This window comes from Homo sapiens, chromosome 6 (genome assembly GCF_000001405.40).
Source record: "Homo sapiens chromosome 6, GRCh38.p14 Primary Assembly".
Classification (NCBI taxonomy): Eukaryota; Metazoa; Chordata; class Mammalia; order Primates; family Hominidae; genus Homo; species Homo sapiens.
In genome coordinates this window covers 114334543-114357615 of record NC_000006.12, presented here as the reverse complement: position 1 = coordinate 114357615, position 23073 = coordinate 114334543, and the positions used below count along the sequence as shown (strand labels likewise).

Below are 23073 nucleotides of genomic sequence, written 5' to 3'. Positions count from 1 at the left end.
CCCAAGGTCACACAGCTACCAGCAGAAGAGCTATAACTTGAGTCTGGACCTGTCTTATTTCAAAGTCTATTCTTTTCCTGCCACAACACATACCACATACACTAACTCTGACATTGAATGGGCTTTGTGGTTTGAGATGAAGTTTAGGGCTTTTATAATTTTTCTGCCCCACCCTCAATATTGCCTGCCACCTCTTTGGCTATCATTTATCTAATGCCCTCTTTTACTGTCCTAATCTGCAACTGACTTAGAAAATACTAACTATGTTTGTTAGACTTGTTTAAAAGTAAGAATAAAACATTCTCAGCAACAATAAAAGGAAAGAATGACAAATGGTTTTAAAGCTGCACATTGACGCGGGCTTAGTAGTAGCACCTAGAGTTGATGTTTCTGCAGCAATAACCATGGCTCTTCAGGAACGCCCATAGGGAGTGACGGTTTCTGGCGTGGTTAAGTAAAGGGAAAGTGAGGCCACACTTCTGGGACCTGGAGAGTTTTCAATAAGTAAATTGCAATGAAAAATACCATGTAGTCTTGGCATCATCTATCTAGATTTTCAGATGTGTCTTTTGCTATTCCTTGTTCTTAGCTGGAGGATATATTGTTAAGGGGGCTAGATAAATGACGTCTGGATAACCAAAGTGTTCATAATGGTCTTTTTCTTTCTTGTTCTTCTTACTTTATTTTTCTTGGCCCATGTTCTGTGTTTCAGGTCTTAGGTTTGACAGCATCACCCATAGCACCTAGGCTTTGGTCACTGAGAGCACATAGGCCAAAGAGAGTGCAAACCTCTGGTAGAAATCAGATAACTGCAAATGAGTAAGTAAAGCATCAAACAAACAAACAACTCTAGTTGGCATAAGTAGTTTTTCCCAGAAATATTGTGCCTGTGAAGATGTAATTGTGGGATGTTGTACCCAAACATCCACTGGGTTGCTGATAATGTCTCTGCACTTCATGTCTGCCTCATTCTTTCTGCTTCCACAGAGCTGATGATATTTCTTGGGCTCTTTTGCTACTACTTCTGTCTTTGTCACCACCACTTTTGTTCCATATATAATCTCCTTTGCTTGCTTTCCTCTTCTCTCTGCTTTTTTTATTTCTTATTTTGTTGGGTCCCTATCATGTCATCTGAGCTTCTTGGCTACATCTATATGAAAAGACTGACGTATTTTGTAAATCTCTATTAAACCAGAAGATTTCTTCCCTCTTGTTGGAGAATTAATCAATCCCGGCTCATCCACCATAATTTTCATATTTTTGGTTCCTCTTAATCATGTACAAAATACTCAAAGCTCATGGCTTATTTCGTTTTTTACAAGATGCACGTTATTCTTCCTTTTGTAACTGACACCATTCCTGGTGCTTGAACACTAGACTCCAGATAACTGAAGTTATGCTGTACTCCATAAAGCCTAGCTGCCAGAAATCACTTCTCCATTGTCGCACACATGGTAATTGATGTATACATTCACAACTCCTCCCAGGAGGTATGAAGGTTAGGCTCAACTTCCAAGTGCCAGCTCCAACAATTCCCTTTTGGTCACTCTTCACCATATATCTCGAAGTAAAGGAAATTAGCATCACCAGAGGGGTAACCTGATTCTCGAAGTGATTTTCTTAAATCATTATAGATAGAGGAGGTAGATCGATAAATAGACCAATTATTTGTGGCAACTCATAGCAAAACATAGTGAGTTTCGGTCCTGGTATTAAAAACTTCTAATACATAGGCTTTAATTTGCTAGAAGATCATCCTAAAAATATGATTCCTGATGGTTTCACATCACCCAGGCACCAGTTTATCAAGTGGCATCCTAAAGGACCCTGTTCTGCCATTAGCCTAAGACCAGAGTTACCTGCTACTGCAAACTCAATTAAATAGAGATGTGAAGGAAAGAAAAACACTAGAAAAATATCTTTGAGGAAGAATGAGAAGGGGTTTATTGTTGTTATTTTGTTGTTGTTGTGTAAGATATAGAGTTTTATCTATGTTTACCTGTTGAAGAGAAACAAGAAGAGAGAGAGATAGAAAATACATGAGTGGGTGGGTGAAAGGAGGTATTTGTGGTTTAAAATTGTGCTGTCCAATATGATAGCCAGTAACCACATGTGGCTGTTGAGCACTTGCAATGTGGTTAGTCTAAACTGAGATGTGCTGTGAGCACAAAATGCACATAGAATTGTGAAGGCTTAGCATGAAACAACCATGTAACTATCACATTAATATTTTTCATGTTGATTACAGGTTGAAAAGATAATATTTTGGCTACAATAGTTTAAATAAAATACACTGTTTAAATTAATTTCACTTTTTTTGTTTTTTAAAATGACTAGAAAATTTTAAATTACACATATGGTTCACATTTGTGACCCACATTATGGTTTTTGACAGCACTGTTATAAGGTCTTATCTACCCAGATTAGGTTCAATGAGGAGTAACAGAAAACGATAAAATGACCCACAATGATTACTAAATATAAATACTTATTGATTCCTCACACAATAAGCCAAAGGTAGACTGGACTAAAAGGGCTTATGATCATCAGAGGCTCAGGCTTCTTTAATCTTTCTGTTCCACCATCTTAAGCACACTGCCTTGTGATCCAAGATTGCTGCTAAACCTCTAACCAGAAAAACCACATGCCGGACAGTAGGAAGAAGAAAGGAACCCATTAAGACTCTATCTCTGTGAGGCCTTCTACAACCATCTTCTACCGTCTTCCTTGATTGGTAAGAACTAGCTTTGGTCAAGACATGAGCTGAGAATCTCTGTAAACTTTGGGGAAGAGGGGAACTAACTACTGTGATCTGGTACTTGGCCCCCTGAAAATACAAGAGAGATCGAACAGTGCAGACTTTATTCCTAATAGTCACGCACACAGCTAAACATCAGGAGTTATATTTAGGATGACCATTTGTCCCAGTTTGCCTGGGAGTCTGTTCTGTATGTGTTGACCTGGCATAATTATTAATAGCTCCCCCTTTTTCTCTCTCAAGTGTCCCAGTTTGGATGATAAATTATATGGTCACCCTTGTTATGTTTCCAAGAAAAAAGAGAGAAACAGATGATAGGGTGGCAATTCTCTCTGCTAGGGGTTCTTGAGAAATCACTCAAGAAATCCTTAGCAAACAGATGTGTCATCCAACCCACCCCACCAGAATTCTGAAGCTGGTTGGAGGTGAGTTGAAGGAGACACTTATTTGCTAAGGACTTCTTGTGATCTTCATACAGAAAATTAAAGGACTTTCCTCGCTCTTTATTATTATTATTTATTCACTTAAATATATATGGTGCAACTCCATTTGCCAAGTGCTGTGCATTTGGGAGACATATATGTAAAACAGAATTTAATACTATTAATCCCATACTATTAAACTCATTTTCTATTTTAATGGAGTAATAGGAGTTTGAATTATCTGAATAGTCTCAATCCTGGTACTACTATTTCTCCCCCTAAATACTTTTCTAAGTCTCTTTCTTTTACTGGTTCCAGAAAATTCTAGCCCACTGTTTTCCAAAATGTCTTCAAATATATTGCTAATTCTTTAAGAGAGTTCCTAGCCAAATAATATTTGGAAACGCAGCATTATTAAAGCATTATAATGCAAGTTAGTATATTAATAGCTCTGAGAAGTACCACAACAGAAATTCCTATTTAACTCTTCTAACCTGAATAGGTTTGGGGTTTAATACCTGCTAACATCTAATACAGCATCCCTTTGTACTACTCCTAGAGTCCCAGAAGTATGAAGATATTATCAGACTCTCAGTCCTCGGTTCCTCCCTCTACATTCTGCTTCCTCATGCTCACATTTGTTCTCTATTTTTACCTCTAAAGAGGTGATGCCTAAGCTACCTTCTCTGGCCTTTACTTCTTTCTCAAAACTAACTAACTGGACATCTCTGCTTAAGTTAAACATTGTAATCTCAAACTTAACAACCTAAAATTTAATTTGACTTTTTGTCCATAATCAAGTCTCCCCTGATGCATGCCTATTTTTGGAATTGTACTACCTGCAGTAGACATTTTGTTTATCTGTTTGTTTTTGGTTTTGTTTGAGTTTGGGGATTTTTTTTTTTTTGGTGAGGGTGGAGTGAGGGGTTAGGGAGCAAGCCTAGCAGTATTGTACTTCACTCCTATTTTCGTTTGAGTGAGAAGTGCATTGCCAATGGCTCTTGGCCAGACCGGGCTTGAGCATGTGGTCTGGGCTTAGCCAATCAGCCTCCCACTGGGCACTTTGAATTTTGAGTTATTAATATTAGAACAGAGATGTAAGAATGGTTAAAATGCATTCACAGTGTGGTGGGGTGACATTAGCAGTGTTCTGTGACAACAGTTTTCTCGACCTGGTTACTTTAGATGATTGTGATGCAACCTAAAGTTTGAGAACCACAGTATTAGGTCTTATATATCAGCTCTTCCAAGAATAATTATTCCACCCAAAATTGACTCTGCCTTTTCTTCAGTCCTATAACCCTTAATATCTACACCACTCATGCTGAACCTATCCCATATTGCTTTGCAGTTATTTATCTTATATCTTGACTAGCTTCTTAGCTTCCAGAAGGCAGGGTGATATAAATCACCATGACTGACATAGAGTAATAACTCACTTAATGAATCAATGAATATTCACTAGTGACAAATTAATTGCTCCTGATATATGAACTTCCCCATTTTCTATAAAATAAACTTTAAATTAGTTCACTTCTATTCAAGAGCTTCTAAAGCAGGGATCCTCAAATTTGCTAGATGTTTAACTAACCTAGAGAGTTATAACAAATATTGATACTCATGTCAGAGCTCTAGAGATTCTTAAGTAATGGATTTGGGGTGCAGCAATCTGGTCACTGTGACTTTAAAAGTTCCTGAATAGTTACATATTGCAGGCAAGATAGTGTGTAGTCCAAAGACTGAATTGCAGGAGCAGTTTACCCGGGAGTTTCTGAATGTGCATTTCAACAAGATTACCAGATGATTCCTTATATACTTTAAAGTATGAGAAGCACTTGGTTTAGAGCAATGATGTTCAACAGAAACATAATACAAGCCACATATGTAATTTAAAATCTTCTAGGAGCCATATTAAAAAAGCTTTTTAAAAGGTAAAAATAATTTTAATAATATATTTTATTTAACCCAATGTATCCAAAATATTATCATTTTAACAATATAAAATTATTAGTGAAATGTTTTATAATATTTTTGTACTGAGTCTTTTAAATCCAGTGTGTATTTTATACTTACAGCATATCTCAAATCAGACTAACCACATTTCTAGTGTTTCATAGCTACATGGGGTTAGGGGTCACTGTACTGGATAGTGCATATCTAGAGTGTTCTGACCTTTCCTTCTCCAGCACCAACTATAGCTTTCCTTACAAAAGCTTTTTGCTTTAGTCAAAAGAAACTTTTCATCAAACAATCAACCCACCATTCACTTTCCTCTCTTCCACTGTTACCTTCACTGCTCCTCGAACCCTGGAAAGACCTCCGTCTGCTCTCTCCTGGTCTAGGTTCCATTTTTTTCCTTTAAACCCAGTCTAATTTTATAGCTCTTTGGTGAAACCTTCCTACTATGGTTCTAGATTACAATGATTAGTTGTTGCTCTAAATTTTGCAGGATAAACATATATTTTCATCTATTAGGGGAGATGGTAAAAGATGGTTTTAGAAGGCTAAACATGGAATGTAATTAGAATGATAAAACATGCTGCCCTTCTTAATAAAAATGAAACCTAGACCTCAGAAGGTTGATATTGAAAGGCCAACTCTCTGGTGAGGAGTAACAGCCTTCCTAGGAAAGCTAAATCAATCTGCATAATTCTACTCCTGGAGATCTTCCATGGCTACCCTTGCCTACCTTGCCCTGACCCCATAATGCTAGAACTAAATAACTAATGCTCCATCTCAAGCATAAATTCAGGTGTGAGCAACAACTCTTGTCTTGATTGCTCCAAAATTTAACTGAGATAAAAATGAAATATTCAAAAAATACTTTTTCAATAGCCAGAAGGCAATTAAACAGAAATTTCAGAGTCTAATGAACTTAGACAATCTAGAAAGTTTGTAAAATTTAGCCTGTTTTCTGTATGAGCAAGATTATCCAATTCACAGATTACAGGAAGGGGAATCAAAAAAGAACTTGCCAAGTCCCCCCGTTCCTTGATCATCTTCTCTTTCCACATGGTGACATTATGTTTAGGCTACAAACCTAGCACTTCCTAGACATCTTGACTCCTGTTAGTCTACATTTGCACTGTCCAATACTGTAGCCACTAGCCACATGCGTGACTGCTGAATACTTGAAATGTGGTTAGTACAAATTGAGATGTGCCATACATGTAAAATACATACTAGGTCTCAAGATTTGTACATATATGAATTTTCCATTGCTGCCATAAAAAATTACCTCAAATTTAGTGGCTTGAAACACCCCTTTATCACATTTGCTATCTGACAGTTCTGTAGACCAGAAGTCCCATATCGAGTGGCTCAGCTGAACCCTCTGCTTATTAGAGACTCCTAAGGCCAAAATCAATGTGTACATGGGGTATCATTCTTTTCTGGAAGCTCTACAGGTAAATCTGTTCCAAACTAATTTGGATTGTTGGATGAATTCTGTTTCTGTGGTTGTAGGGCAGGAGTCTTGTTCCCTTCATGGTTGTCAGCCAGAAGCCACTCAGCTCCTTAAGACCACATGCATTCCTTATCACACTGTCCCCTCCATCTTCAAATCAGCAAGGACATGTTGAATCCTTCTCATGCTTTGACTCTTTCTGAATTCTCCTGTCATATCTCTTCTTCTTCCAGCCTGAACAAACTCTCTGCTTTTAAGAACTCATGTGAGGGAGCTTTCCAAAACACTTGGTGAGAGGTGGAGGAGTGGTAGCTGCCCAAACTCCTTCTTGCTCCCACACACCAGCCTTAGCCCCCTTGCCAGCTGTAGAAAGTGGTGAAAGAAACCACTTACTGTAATGGTTTGTGGGTGATACCCAATGCCATCCAGGAAGAGTTAAGAGAGTCTTACAGGAAACTGGTCTTGAATTACTACCCTGGTGAGAATCCAAATAACAAACAGAAGTGTAAACAGATTTCTCAAGCTTATGAAGTGCTCTCTGAAGCAAAGAAAATTGAATTATTTGAGAAAAGAGGAGAGTGGGCAATTAAAAAGGGTGAAGTGAGTGGCAGTTTTGGCTCCCTCATGGACATCGTTGATATGTTATTTGAAGGAAGAGGAAGGATGCAGAGAGAAAAAGAGGTAAAAATATTGTGCATCAGCTCTCAGTAACCACAGAAGATGTATTTAATGGTGCAACAAGAAAATTAGCTCCATAAAATAATGTGATTTGTGGCAAGTATGTAGGCCAAGGTGGTAAGAAAGGGGCAGTAGAGTGCTGTCCCAATCACTGAAGTACTAGAATGCAAATAAGAATTCATCAGATACGACCTAGAATGGCTCAAGAATTTCAGTCTGTGTGCATGGAATGCCAGAGCCATGGGGAGGAGATCAGTCCTAAAGATAGATGTAAAAGTTGCAATGGAAGGAGGATAGTTTGAGAGAAGAAGATTCTACAAGTTCATGACAAAGGCGTGAAAGACGAACAGTAGATATCTTTCATGGTGAAGGAGATCAGGAGCCAGGAGATATTATCATTGTTTTAGATCAGAAGGACCATACTTTCTTATTCGACCAGAAGACCTTTTCATGTGTATGAACATAAAACTGATTGAAGCACTGCATGTCTTCCAAAAGCCAATATCCACCCTTGACAACCAAACCCCAGTCAACACCTCTCATCCCCCAACTCAGATTGTCAAGCATAGAGATATTAAGTGTGCGCTAAATGAAGGCATGCCAGTTTATTGTAGATCCTATGAAAAGGATCACCTAATCATCAAATTTAAGGCCTACTTCCGTGAGAATGCCTTTCTGTCTCCTGATAAACTCTCTTTGCTGGAATAACTCCTGCCTAAGAGGTAGGAAGTAAAAGACGCTGATGAAATGGATCAAGTACATCTGGTGGACATTGACCGGTATCAGCAAAGATGGGCAATTACAATGGAGAAGCTTAGGAGGATGATGAACATCATACCAGTGGTGGTGTTCAGTGTCAAACCTCTTAATGGTGCCAGTGAGTAACACTCACTGCTGGTATTATATGTGCAGTAGTGAACAAGTGAAGGACTATAACCATAATATGCTCACTTCTTGCTATTGTTTTTGTTTTAATACTCAATTATAGTAGTGTTTTAAAAGTTAAATGAATAATAAATGAAAATATAAAAGCTCTGACTTTGCCCTAAATATATGTTGACATCAGTGAGCAAGATGACATTTAATATCTGTAAAAATTACTTTTTTTTTTTTTTGAGACGGAGTCTTGCTTTGTCGCCCATGCTGGAGTGCAGTGGCACGATCTCGGCTCACCGCAAGCTCCGCCTCCCGGGTTCACACCATTCTCCTGCCTCAGCCTCCCGAGTAGCTGGGACTACAGGCGCCCGCCACCACGCCCGGCTAATTTTTTAATTTTTAGTAGAGACGGGGTTTCACCGTGTTAGCCAGGATGGTCTCAGTCTCCTGACCTCATGATCCACCCACCTCGGCCTCCCAAAGTGCTGGGATTACAGGCATGAGCCACCACACCTGGCCTAATATCTGTAAAAATTACTTTTAAGAAAAGTTCCGCTAGCATTTGTTAGGTCATGTCTTGTAATTAATTTCAGATGTGTCTATGAGCAAGCTTAGCTTGAAATGCTAAGCATATGTATCGACCTCCACTTATGGCCATTCATTGTTAAACTTTGAAATTAAAACTCTGTATGGTTCGCCCTCCATATCAGCAAATTCAACCAGCCCTAGATTTAAAATATTAAAAAAAAAAAAACAATAAAAAAGATAAAAATTTTTAAAGTACAGTGTAACTATATAGCATTTACATTATATTAGGTATTATAAGTAATCTAAAGATGATTTAAAGTATATAGCAGGTTGGCCAGGCATGGTGGCTCACGCCTGTAATCCCAGCACTTTGGGAAGCTGAGGAGGGCGGATCATCTGAAGTCGTGAGTTTGAGACCAGCCTGACCAATATGGAGAAACCCTGTCTCTACTAAAAAAATACAAAATTAGCCGGGCATGGTGGTACATGCCTGTAATCCCAGCTACTCGGGAGGCTGAGGCAGGAGAATCACTTGAACCCAGGAGGTGGAGGTTTCGGTGAGCTGAGAACATGCCATTACATTCCAGCCAGGGCAACAAGAGCAAAACTCCATCTCAAAAAAAAAAAAAAAAAAAGTATATAGCAGGTTGTGGATGTGTTATAGGCAAATAGCACACTATTTGAACATCTGGATTTTGGTACCCAGGAGGGTCATGGAACCAATCCCCCATGGATACTAAGGGACCACTATATTTAACTGGTAATCAGAAGATAAAATGAAATAGCAAGAAGTGAGCATATTATGGTTATAGTTCTTCACTTATTCACTACTGCATATATAATACCAGCAGTGAGTGTTATTCACTGGCACTATTAAGAGGTTTGACGCTAAACACCACCTCTGGCATGATGTTCATCATCCTCCTAAGCTTCTCCATTGTAATGGCCCATCTTTGCTGATACCTGTCAATGTCCACTAGATGTACTTGATCCATTTCAAGTACCAACAGAAATCTTGGTCTGTATAGTTATGTGTATTAAGTGGAACTCATTGTGATGCTTCTGCATTTACCCTATTGCTTCGACTTTTATTTGAAGATGCATAATACATAATTTAGCTATGGCATCAGTAACATAAATGATCATATTTATAGTTTATATATCATATAACTAATGTTATACAATATAGTACATATATAACATATGTAGATCATATATAGTTACATATATATAGAAAACTTGTCGATCAGTCCTCGTTACATTCTTTTTTCCTTCTTTTTAGGCCATCCTGAGCCCCTAAGTAGTGACTTACAGAGCTGGGTTAAACTTAACTTAGAACTTAAAGTGATGAGATCTTTACATGGAGGAGAAGTAATCTGCATGTACAATATGGGAAGGTATTCCTTAGGTATGTTACAGGTTCACTTTAAACCATTTGATTTATGCTCCAAAGTATCTGTACTTAATGCTGGGAGTATAGCAAACTGTGATAAATACCTTTAATTGTATATTTTAAAGTCAGCATATGGTCACATGCTTACATTTAAATATCAGCATTTAAGCAATTCTTGAAATATATGAATGTCTCCTTAGTATACTGATTACAAAGCATTTTCAACATTTGTCACTACAGGCATTTTCTCCCTAGGTCAAAGAATTGGCTTTTCACTAATTAAAATATGTAACTTTTCATTTTAAATAGTTAAAATTAGTAATACAAAAATATTATTTGGCTGTTTAAAAAAAGAACTCGTGTGATTAGATTGAACCCATGCAGACAATCCAGGATAATCCCCCTATTTTAAGGTCTTTAACCTTAATTACATCTGCAAAATCCCTTTGCCAGGTAAGGTAACACATGTACAGGTTCCAGAGACTCGGGTGCAAACATCTTTAGGAAGTCATTCTTTCTACCACAGTATGAAAAAAAAAGTAAAGTATTTCATTAATGATAACTATATTGATTACATGTTGAAATAATATTTTTGATATATTAAGTTGAATGAAATATATCATTAAAATTAATTTCATCTGTTTCTTAAGTTTTTGAATAAGCTCCTAGAACATTTTAGATTATATATGTGGCTTACATTTGTGTCTTACATTGCATTTCTATTGGCCAGCACTTGTCTAGACCTAGAGAGAGGTCAAATCCTCTTTACCACCCTCGGAGTTTTTGATATTTGGTCTGTGGACCCACTCCTTCCATGAGAAATGCTTCCCTTACAATCAGTCGTGGCCTTACACTTTTAGGTCTCTCATGACTAAACACAGCATTGCACAATACAGAAACCACAATTTTCATACAAGAGATACCCAAATACAGTGATGGAGCATGGAGATGTGGGTACAGGGGCATATTTCCTTATAATAAAATGAACCTTGTTCAACTTGATAGCCCTAGCGATTACTGACCTCGCTCAATGAGAGCAGAGACTTCTTCTATTCATCTTCTGGTTTCCAGTGGTAGCACATAGAAGGACCCTTTTCTTTCCTTTTTTAAATTTTTTGAGATGGCATCCTGTTCTGTTGCCCAGGCTGGAGTGTGGTACAATCATAGCACACTGCAGCCTTGACCTCCTGGGCTCAAGCAACCCTCCCACCTCAGCCTCCTGAGTAGCTGGGACTACAGGCATGTGACACCAAGCCCATATATATTTTTTAATTTTTTTGAAGAGATGGGATCTCTCCATGCTGCCCAGGCTGGCCTCAAACTCGTGGACTCAAGCAGTCCTTCTGCCTCAGCCTCCGAAAGTGCTGGGATTACAAGTGTGAGCCACTGTGCCTGGACTGAAGGGCCCTTTCAATGAATATTTACTAAACCAATTGAAAGTCAGCAATTGGCTGGTTAAAAGAAAAAAAGATAGATTTTGGAAAGTAAGTCAGCTGCCCTCAATTTCTTCATAATGACAAACATTTCTATATTTTACTGAGAGGGCAGTCTCCATTTGAAGCTGTAAAGTAAATAATATTTCTTATATTTTGGAGACAGAGCCTTGCTCTGCTGCTCAGGCTGCAGTGCAGTGGTGTGATCATGGATGACTGTAACCTCAAACTCCTGGGCTCAAGGGATCCTCCTGGCTCAGCCTCCAGAGTGGGTGAGACTACAGGCATACACTACCCTGCCCAGCTAATTTTTTTTTTTTTTCTAATTTTTTGTGGAGAAGGGGTCTCGTTATGTTGCCCAGGCTGATCTCAAACTCTTGGCCTCAAGTGATCCTTCCACCTTCTCCTCCCAAATTGCTGGGATTATAGACATAAGCTAGCATCACTGGCCCAAATAATATTTAATGGTTACATCTTTATGAGACAAGAGAGTATGCTGATGTTCAGGAAAAAAAATATATTCTTTACCAAATGAACACTCTAATTAACCAAATGTTTTCATTGCTGTGTACTTTATTTGGCATAGATGACTAAGCTAAACCAATAAATCTGTGACTGTTTTCAAAACTGTATTTCAAATAGATTTTTTGGGTGTACCATTATGTCTAGTGTTTAGTTTTATTTGTTTAATTTACCACAATACCAAAATGTTTCTTAAAATGTTAGACCACACCCACCCACCTCCACACTTCACCTAGCAGAAAATCCAGGTCATCTGTAGAAGTTGAAAAGCAACACAAAAAAGCTCATGCACCTTCATCTAATCCTCCAACCCTGGGCAAGGTAAAAGCTCTTTCCAGAGCATTGCATCCCAGTTTTTGGAACCGTACCTGCTCCCAACCCCAGGTGTGACCCTGTAGCAGGTAGGCAAAATTACTGTGACAATCTCACAATCCATCAGCTACAGAGCAAAGGATCCTCTGAGGAGAAGTTAGGATTGCTGAGAAAGCACAGGCTGCTGAGCATTCCTCTCCTGCCAGACATAAACCTGATGCAAGACAGAATTATGAGAAACCAGATTCAGCTCACCCATCCTCCTTCTCAGTCATCTTCCAGGCACAAAAGAAAGACTGAATACCAATCAAAAGATAATATAAATAAACCTTTTAAATAAAGTTTACTAATTGAAAGGACTAATAGATGGAGTGATGCATTCTTCAAAATCTATTGTCATGCTTTTGTGGACTTTATTGCTTATCAGCATTTTTCCCCTCAAGAAAAAAAAACAGAACAGCAACATTTGTTCAGAAAAAAAACAAACCATGTTTCTTCCTTTCTTATTACTTTTATTGTTTGAGGTTTCTTTTAGACTATAATGTGGCATTGTGATTTTAAGATGGGAAAAAAAAATCTCTTGTCTTTCAAACATAGGAATGTGATTGTATGCTATTGTTGCCAACAATGAGCTAAAGAGGTTAATGGATCACATATCTGGCAAACAGCCATCTTTCCTCCTGCTCAATATATTACACAGTATACATTTTATTGTTGCTGCTGAGCATATGATTTTGTCTGAGTAGTTGGTAAATAAGTTTAGACTTAACTGGTCTCTTTCTAAAACTCAACAGCTTTGTCATTCAGGCTATATCCTGAGATTTAAAAAGTGCAGTTTCGGTTCTTAGCTCATGACCTTTTGAGGTGATGGTAAGAGTGGTGGGAGGAAGGAGGTGGGGCGGGCTGTTGAATGAGAATCTAGAAATATTGTGCCTTGTAAATTGCATCCGACCTTTCATTTTCAGATTGCCTAAATTAACAGAGTGAAATTACCATAATAAAAAGGAATGGGTACTGGAGAAAGTACAGCAATTCTTTCTAGTGTTGTTTCCCAGATTCCTTCCAAAATACCTCTAATTAAATGGACCAACTCTCTCCACTGACCTCAGGTTGACACAAATTTGCATTCTGCGACTGTCATTTGAAAACAGACAAGCCGTCATAAGCAATAATGCTGTGATTTCTTGCCTAAAGGACTTTTCTGTGTACTGCATTTGTACTATGAAATGTAAGCAAGAGACTTAATGCCTCTACAGATAAAAAGGGAGGAAAGATTTTCATTTTTAGGGAACCCCAGAGGGAAAAAGTTTATCAATGAGAAATACAATGTTCTGGATAATTTTGGTTGGGTAGGAATGTATGTTGAGGGAGGGGACTAGAGTTGGGAGAGAGGAAGCAACACATCAGTCTCCTTGGAGCAGTAGAGTCCTTTCAGTCCGGTAAAGAGCACAGTAAGTAGCAGGTAGAATCAGCTCCTGGCCTGTTGTTTTGCTGGGGGCAAAGGGTTGGAGGAACACAGACTAAATTGGGAAGGCTAGTGTGCCTCTCGGCTTTTGGACTTGGGACCTGAAAGAAGGCTGAGTCCTGAGCTCCGCTTCCCAGCTAGGCGGTGATCGCCCCCTGTGACTCCGGATGCACACAGCAGCCCCAAGCACGCCGCGGCCGCCGCCCGACCCTTCACCGCCTCCGGCTCTCCCGCCTGGCACTCTGGAGCCACACACACCAGCTTCCTGGACACCTGTGTGCCCCAAGCTCTGGGTCTAGGCATCCCCCTCACCCCAGAGAGACCGGTCTCAGCGCCTCAGCAATTGGGTCCCTCCGACCTCTGTGTCCCCGAGTTCTGCCACCCTGGTCACCTCCGCAGGTTCCCCAAGCTGCGACCTCAGTCCAACTGGGAGCCCTGCGCGCCCACCCGGCAGCCCCACTGCGCTGCTCGCCCGCGGTTCCAGCGCCTGGGTGGGACGCGCAGTGGCTCAGCTGCGGGACCTCCGCCTCCGGGTAAATCCTCCTCCTCCCCTTTCTCCGCCTAAGGCCCTGCCCTCCCCCTGCAGCAAGCCGCTCCGGTGCGTGCGCCCGTCTCTCCGCCGAAGACACCTGCGCTTCCTTCCCCACCCTCCTCCTCCTCCCTTTCGCTGCGGTTTCTCCGCTGCCTTTGGGAGCTCGGGAGCGGCAGCTGGAGGAGGAGCACGGGGAGGAGGGGAAGGCGAGGAGGAGTAGGGGCGGGGTGGGTGGGGAGAGAGCCGGGAGGGTGTGGACTGGCAGCCACTCTGCAGCTGGTCGCCAGGGACCCGGTCCCTCCTGCGCGCCCAAGTGATGGAGGGGAAGAGATTCGCTTAGACACACACACGCGCACACAGCTGGGCACGTCTCCGGGAGGCAGCTGCCGGCTCGGGCGCTCTGGGGGCCGGGCGGCGGCCGTGACAGCGCCAGCCGCGGGGAGCGGGGCGCCCGCACAGCTTGGCACCGGAGGCTCGAGGACGCAGGAAGGGAAGATCCCAGTCACACTGAGTGTTGCTCTTTTGGGCGGATTGGGAGGGAGCGGGCTGCCCGAGGAGCTGTCACCGAGGACGCCCGAAGTCTCGCCCTCTGCGCGCAGGGTCCGGGGCTGCGCCGGTGCCCTCGTGGGGCAAGGAGGATGCGCACCTCCCCCCGCAGAGCGGCTGCGGTCTCCGGCACTGCGCGGACTCCGGCTCCTGCGGCCGCCCGTGCCGTGCCCGCGCCACGGGAGCGCGCCCTGCCGCACCTGGTTCCAGCCTCTCGGGGAAGTGCAGGAAACGCGCCCTAAACTCCACTACTTCTCGCCCGCCTGCCCCCCCGCCCGGCTCCCCGCCTCAGACCTCGCCGCCGCCGCCGCCGCCGCCGCCGCCTGCGTGTGGGGCCCGCTCGCGTCTTACTCACACGCGCCACGCACAGCCCTGTTGGTTTGCTCTCATTCACGCCGACTCGCTCTCCGCCGAGCCTAGCCCGGGCATCCGAAACTACTGGACCAACTGCCGTCCGGACCGCAGCAGCGGCCGGGTGACCCCCACGCGACCCGCCGCCGACCCCCGCGCCCTGAGGCTCCCGCCCGCGCCGCCACCGCCGGGGACCACGGTGAGCAAGGCGCGCTGCCCGCCTCGCGCGGGGGAGGGGCTTTGAGACCTCTAGATTTGGGGGGAAATGAGAAGGGGCAAATCGCCAAAGGGAAGCATCCGGGTGATGCCAGCAAAAAAGCACTTTGTGGGGTTCGGTTCTCCTGGGCGCTGCCTGGGGAAGACTTTTGAGAGGTTTGCTTAGGACCAGAGGTTAAACTAGTGCGAGATGAGAAACGGCGGGGGCAATTCCTGGGGTAAAATTAGACAGAAGGTGTCAGTCAGCCTGCCTGTCTGTTTCTCTCTCAGTCTCTCCCAGAGCGCTGGGTAGCGCTCTCTTTGAGGGAGAAAGGGAACACGCGTTTACTGCGCTCGCCAGAGTTTAGGGGTTCGCGTTCGGTCACTTCTGGGGTGGCTGTGGAGCTGTTTGGAGCGCGAGGGCAGCTTTGGGACAGTGGGGGCCTGCGAGGCCCCAGCAGAGGACAGGCAGAGGGCAGGCAAAGAACAGGCAAAGGCTAAGTTAACATGTGGGTGGGGTTTTCTCTTCCCAGCTGGCCCCCCCCACACCCCTCACAGCCCCACTTTATGCATCTCTTCCCACCCAACACACACGCGCGCGCGCGCGCGGGATGGATGCAGTCGAAGGGTGGTCATACTGTTACTACAAACAAGTCTGAGAGGTCGCTGTCGCTACTCACTGGAGCGCTGAGACTCCTGCTCCTGTTACTTGGGCGACCACCTTGGTTTAGGGCAACCTGCAAGGAGCGTCCAGCTTAAGGTGGATGTCTTTACCTGGAGGTTCCAAGCGCCCAGCAAACAAACAACTCCGGAGTCACTTCACCTTGGTGGGTTTCCTCTACTCTTCCGCTTCCCTACTTCAGTGCTTCAGGGCACCCACCCAAGGGAGCTGATGCTCACATTCGTGGTCTACCCTGTCTTCACCCGGTGGGACTCACTCTCTCTCTCTCTCTCTCTCTCTCTCTCTCTCTCTCTCCCCCTCTCTCCCTATTCCCTCTCCCTCTCCCTCTCCCTCTCCCTCTCCCTCCCTCCCTCCCCTCTCTCCCCCTCTCCTCTCTGTCTCCGAATACGAATACCAGTTTCTTCTTAGAAAACACTGGGGAGAGATTTAATATTTGCAAAGTGCTTTATGTCATATTACTTCGTGGATACATTTAATAGCACTGTAACTCTTCTCTGATTTATGTAAACTTGGTCTGATAAATAGCATGCAGGGTCGGGTTGGGTGGGGGCGAAAGTGGGTGGGTGGGCCTTCTTTCTGTGCTAATGCTCCTTTCTAAACTGATTTGCTAGAAGTAATAAACAGCTGGTGCTTCTCAAAGGTTTTACTTAGTAGTTTCTACATATTTCAGAGCTTTAGACAAATTACACATTATAATTTATTTCAAATATATTAAGGTCTTTTCAAGAAAAAGTTGAAGATAATAAAAGGGGATTACAAATATGAATATCAAAAATGATTATTTTTTAAAAAAGGTTTTATTGCTATCAATTATGTTGCAATAGATTTTTGTTGTTGTCATTGTTACCTTGGGGTTTCCTCCTAGTGAAGTTTTTAAAGAAATGAAAACAATACTACTTACCTTCCTCTCTCTGTTTGGTCATTGCTCAAAGTAACTGCATGAGCATCAGGGCAGGCTTCTTAACTTCAGGAATATGAAGTTATTCACCAGTGAACTGATGGAGACACAAGAAGATATTACAAGACACATAGCAATGGGAAGGAAACTGTTGCTTAAATTTAACCGCCTCCAGTGTTTTAACAGTGAAAAAGAAAACTGCTTTGGCCTCTCCCAAGCTACTCTGGCCTTTTAGAAACACTCTTTTTTCAATTAATAAAACATATAGAAACATCATTACTTGAGAAAAATATTTTCAAATAGGTATGTAAGCAAATTACATGGGAAATTATGAGCACAATATTCAATGGAGTATTACAGCAAGTACTGGGATCCTGGTTTCTAGGTTGAGCCAGAGCTCATGCTTAAATTTTAACATTTGAAGTTGCTCCCTTTGACATCTTTGTGAGGAGGTGTTGCCCAGTGTTTTCATTATGCTTTTATCATTGTCCTCACCATTTTTGCCGGCATACACAGATGTTTTTGAATGAATAACCTTCTTACTCACTGAATTTTCACTCATTCAAAAAGTATTTATTGAGCACATGAACACACACAATATGCAAAGTTGAGCTGGGTTGTTATTTTAAACAAAAAGGGAGGATTTCTGGTAGAAGCAGGAAGCTTACTCCTACACAGTGTAAATAGAACTGTAGAGCAGTGGCTTACTTAGGGAAGCAGCATCTTGCCCAGAGTAGGTGGTCAACAAAGAGCTGTTGACTCAGAAATCACATAAGATATTAACCAGCCAACTTTGTTTCCCTCCTAAATTCTACAATTATCCTTATCCCACCATGTCGTTAAGATGTGACTCAACTTCAGAGAATTGATGTTGACTCTAATCTCCTTGCTCTTTGTCTGAATACTTTAGAGTAATATAACTATCTGTGCACTGTATGATTTCTAGCTCTGGCTTTCTGTGTGTGATTTCTATGGAGTAATGCCAGCTCTGAATTTGTCATTAGTATTCATTTATGAGTAAATGCAAATATTCTTGTTGCACTGAAAAAGTGAATTCGCATTCATAGAACACAAGAAATATTTTGCTCCTAAATCTTACCGTCTCTTTATTTTTACAATCTCAGAAACAGTAACGTTTTTTAAAAAAGCAATTATATATAAATGAACAAGTTAACAAAAGTAGTTATTTAGGATTTTTTAGAAAAGGGGAAATGTCTTATGGAAATTTTAGTTGAAGTGAATTTTATTTGATGCTCTTGACATGTCTAGCAGGATGGTCTATTTATTGTAGGCACCCTCATTTCATGAATAAAATAATTCTCAAGGTAACTTCCTAGTAAAAGGGGCTAGTGGAGGAGAGAATGCTTACTAAAAATGATTCCAATTTGGGAATAGAGTATGAGCAGTAACACTAGAGTTGTGTTTGAACATTGAAATTATGTGAATATTTCTATATTTCATTGGTTTTTATATGGATGAATTTTTTGGATTTCTAAATACTTTATCCCAATATTTTCATATTCTGAGATGATTGCAATTAAGTGAAGACTTATTATTTGGTAATGGAATAATAGTTTATTTTAAGTACAGGTGAATAGCTTAAAAGAGAGAACAAGTCAAGTTAAGGAAATTGTTTAAGCCATAGATTTCAAATCATTTAAATCCTTTCCATTTTTTGGTGAGGGGAGCTCAAAACAAAAATACCTAGTTAAACTTTTCATTATAAATTAAACTGTTACCATTCAGAAAAATCCTGTATTTTAGGCTTTCTGTGAATTCAACATTAATTGTTTCAAGTTAGCAAAAATGTAACCTTTTGTATATATTTTCTGGTATCTAATTTAATTGTTGACAAATTTTGCTGCCTCTGGAATCAATGTTTGTTTCTGAGTTTTAATGTTATCTTAACCTTTAAGCAGAAGTGCAATTAAAGCAAGATATTAGTAACTTCATTTAAAAGTCACCAATCTAAGTAAAAAACATTTCATAGTAGCTAACCCTTATCAAAAGTAGAGTAAAAGATTACATATGGAAATTCATATAATGTAGATAGGATAAATGAACCTCTCTAAATCTCATATGGAAGTTCCATTATGGTGTCTTACTATTAATTGGCATTGGTCCAGTAGATTATTTTTCTTCTTCTTGAAGTTTTATGAAGGAAAGCTATGTCCATATTAAGAAATGGTTGAAGAGTTTATTTGACTTTAGACCACTTTGCCTAACTTGACTCTGCATGGGGGAGGTAAATTTTATTTATATTTATTTACATATACATATATTTATGTATATGTATGTATATATATACACAATGTGTATGTATATATACATTGTACATATGTAAATAGTATATATTTATGTTTCTGTTTATGTATATATCTGTTTTTTAATAACCTTGTACAACAGGAATAGAATCCCTTTGTGCCATACATGGTTTGTGAAGTCAGCATCACTTTGAGAATGATACTCATAAATGCTCTACTAGTTTGATATTGAAAATATGGAGTATGATACTTTTTTTAAATAATTTATTTAAGAAACACTTGCAATAAATTTTATTATGTGCCTGACAATGTCCAAAGAGCTCTACTCATATTAACTCATTTAATTCTGGTAGCTCTCCTGTCATTTCCCATTTTACAGAGGGAAAATAAGTAGGTACAGCTGCTATTATTTTATTTTTCATTGATGTTATCATTTTTACTGCCATTTAGGAGTTGAGGAAGGTGAGGGTTTATGAACCTAAATAAATGACTCAAGCTCTGCAGCTACTATATGGCAGAATTGGCATTTGAGTCCAGGTAGTCTACTCTGCTCTTGAATAGATTTTTTTTTTAAGTTTACTTAAATAGAGGGCCCAGTGGGGAGCAAGTTAGATGTAAAGCAAATAGATTCTAGCAACTGAGATTTATGATAATTTTCAACTTCTAGTGAATTCTTCTGAAATTCATAAGGAAGGCAATTGTAATGAAGCCGTGACATAACCTGAACCACAGCGGTCCTTGAGCATAGTGCTGTAACTTAATGTAGTTTTTAATGGACTCAATAATTTCCAAAGGTTCAGCTACTTTTAAATTAGGTAACTTTAAGAACCGATGCCATATTTAAGTAGTTTTAATAGCTCAGAGAATCTGATACTGAATGTTTTATGCTTCCCATGATATCCTTATAATGTGAACCTCTTGCACAGAGGTCAATGTTGTGTTACTACGGTGTATAGTACTTGCCAAAGGAATCTGAGTTTTATAGAAGGTGTGAAGTGAGAAGACTTATTCTGCTCAGACTTGGATACACACAGTTGGCATCCCATTAATATTTACTGCATGTACTGAAGCAGAGCATTCCACATGTTGCTTCTCCAGAGGTTAAAAAAAAGGCTTCAAGTGTCTTTATAATTGCACAGTTTTAAGATGTGATTTAATACTGAATAGACATTTTATTTTGTCATGATGATCTCAGGACATTACTATCTATGAAACCTTGTGGAATAATAACTTTTATGAGATGGAATGGCCTGAGATAGAAAGGAGAAGGATGGTGTAAGAAGTGTGAAATAATAAACAGGTTTAAATGTTTAAGTTTAGGAGTAGACAAAAGGAAGAATGCCTGTAATTGTACTTTTTATTTTAAAAAGGCATACAAGGCATAATTAACATGAAGTAACAGAATCTTTAAACTGCTAATGAGGTACCACAACTGTTCTATCATAAATATTAACAATCTTACTATTTGAGTATAGTTTGGGGAACTATTCAAGAACATATTAAAATGTCACTGTAATGCTCTCTGCCATAGCTAACTAACTCAAGTCAATGAAAAAAATCACAATAATTCTGAACATGCCTCAACATAAATGAAGTATTCATTGGAGTGTAAGTACTATAGTCAGACAGAGTTGGCTGAATTAAAATCCCTGCTTTACTGCTTATTAACTATGGTGTCTTGGGCAAGTTACTTCATTCTTATAGTTCTTAGTAATTTAATTAATTAATTATTATTATTATTATTATTTGAGTTGGACTCACGCTCTGTCACCCAGGCTGCAGTGCAGCGGCACAATCTTGGCTCACTGCAGCCTCCTCCTCTTGGGTTCAAGTGATTTCGTGCCTCAGCCTCCTGAGCAGCTGGGACTACAGGCATGTGCCACCATGCCCACCTGATTTTTGTATTTTTAGTAGAGACAGGGTTTTGCCATGTTGGCCAGACTGGTCTGAACTCCTGGCCTCAAGTGATCTGCTCACCTCGGCCTCCCAAAGTGGTGGGATTACCGGCGTGAGCCACTGCACCAGGCCAAATTCTTAGTAATTTTATCTATTATATGGTAATGGAAATACCACTTCATTGATATCCATATGATAATCTATGTAAAATACTTAGCATTGAGTGTCATACATAGTAAAAATTCAGAAAGTAGTAATTGATACTGCTGTCATCACCACCATCTTTAACATCAACATACCATCATCATAGATGATTAAACATAATGGGCACAACATGCTCATTATGTGTATTTGAATACATGGTTCTCCATTTTAAAACATGGGTTCTCTTACTCTTGATGGAAGTGTATGAAGAAAGAATTATGTGTTTTAAGACTTAAGCTTGATTAAAGTAATACCAGATTTAAAGGCCTATGCTGAACACAGAAATTAAAAGGAGGCTTTTGGGGCCGGGCGCGGTGGCTCACGCCTGTAATCCCAGCACTTTGGGAGGCCGAAGCGGGTAGATCACAAGGTCAAGAGATCAAGACCATCCTGGCCAACATGGTGAAACCCTGTCTCTACTAAAAATACAAAAATTAGCTGGGCATGGTGGTGCATGCCTGTATCCCAGCTACTCAGGAGGCTGATGCAGGAGAATCTCTTGAACCCGGGAAATGGAGGTTGCAGTGAGCCGAGATTGCACCACTGCACTCCAGCCTGGCAACAGAGTGAGATTCCGTCTAATTTAAAAAAAGAAAAAAAAAAAAGAGGAGGCTTTTGGGACAGCTAATTCATTGTTCTTATTTGCAAGGCCTCGCTTTATAAGTTCACTTGATTCTTTGGAATGTGTATCCTCTTATCCAGATGTAGTAAATGGAAAAGAATGAAAGTTTTTGCTATGGAATTGAAATATTTATATTTGTCTTTATATCTGATATGAGTTGAAAACTTTAGGTTACACAAATTTCTTCTGACATCTTTATATTTCATACCTTATAGAACTCAGTGTATAAAGGGAAAAGCTATTTCCTAACTCTGGTCACTAAATGTGAATAACTTGACTTAAGAGATCAAGTTTAATTCTATTCTTAGATTTTTTTTTTTTTTTTGCCACTCATTTAATTCTGGTAGTTGATATTTACTATGTATCAAGCAGTATAGGTCTTTATACATTTTGCCCTTACAAAGCATTCATTGGGACATATGCCGTTAGTATTTCCATTTCACAGATGAGGTAATTGAGGCCCAGGAAGGACCCAGAGCTAAAGGGGTGGAGCCATGATCCTCACCCACACCATCTGTCTCTGAAGCCCATATTTAACCCTCACACTAATGGGCTTCTTAGTTACAGTTAGCCCCCAAGTATTTTCTGTGGATTTCTGGGCCTTAAAACCCATGCCTCCCTACTTTCCTGTATCTTCCTTGCAATGAACAAAAGAGTAATTTAATTTCAATAAGGCTCAATTTCTTGACTTTGTGTACATACTTTTCATATGTATATGCAATGGCCACTAGAACAAAGAATTAGATAACATTAATTTTTAGCAAACAATTGAATCGATTTTAAAATAGACTTAAATAAGTCTGCCAAAATCCTTCTAAATACAGTAATTTGTCACTTGACAATGGAGATACATTCTGGGATATGCATTGTTAGCTGATTTTGTCATTGTGTGAACATCATAAAGTGTACTTATACAAACCTGGATGGTATAGCCTGGTACACACTTAGGATATATGATATAGCCTATCATCTCTAGGCTTCAAACCTGTATAGCATGTGACTATACTGAATACTGTAAGCAGTCGTAATACAATGTTAAGGATTTGTGTATCTAAACATAGAAAAGGTACAGTAAAGACATAATAGTGTA

The 23073-nt window shown here is 40.3% G+C and overlaps 1 protein-coding gene, 2 long non-coding RNA genes and 1 pseudogene across 13 annotated transcripts in view; 2 read left to right on the top strand and 2 right to left on the bottom strand.

Moving 5' to 3' along the window:
• LOC107986638 (uncharacterized) overlaps nt 1–15291 on the bottom strand; it is a 131875-nt gene extending 116584 nt beyond the window's left edge. For both annotated transcript variants that reach the window (XR_002956366.2, XR_002956367.1), the window contains exon 1: nt 15227–15291. This is a non-coding gene — a long non-coding RNA (uncharacterized LOC107986638). The remainder of the gene's footprint in view (nt 1–15226) is intronic.
• Nucleotides 6959–8130, top strand: DNAJA1P4 (DnaJ heat shock protein family (Hsp40) member A1 pseudogene 4; annotated as a pseudogene).
• The window catches only part of HS3ST5 (heparan sulfate-glucosamine 3-sulfotransferase 5), a 287428-nt gene continuing 278947 nt past the window's right edge, over nt 14593–23073 (top strand). For 6 of the 10 annotated variants that reach the window (NM_001387040.1, NM_001387046.1, NM_001387041.1 and 3 more), the window contains exon 1: nt 14593–15421. The gene's annotated coding sequence lies outside the window, so the exon portion shown is untranslated. Of the gene's footprint in view, nt 16245–23073 lie in introns of all 10 variants that reach the window. The other 4 variants (NM_001387039.1, NM_001387043.1, NM_001387042.1 and 1 more) reach the window with 1 other exon arrangement.
• The window catches only part of HDAC2-AS2 (HDAC2 and HS3ST5 antisense RNA 2), a 371029-nt gene continuing 364842 nt past the window's right edge, over nt 16887–23073 (bottom strand). Inside the window, exon 10 of the long non-coding RNA NR_125845.1 lies at nt 16887–17094. This is a non-coding gene — a long non-coding RNA (HDAC2 and HS3ST5 antisense RNA 2). The remainder of the gene's footprint in view (nt 17095–23073) is intronic.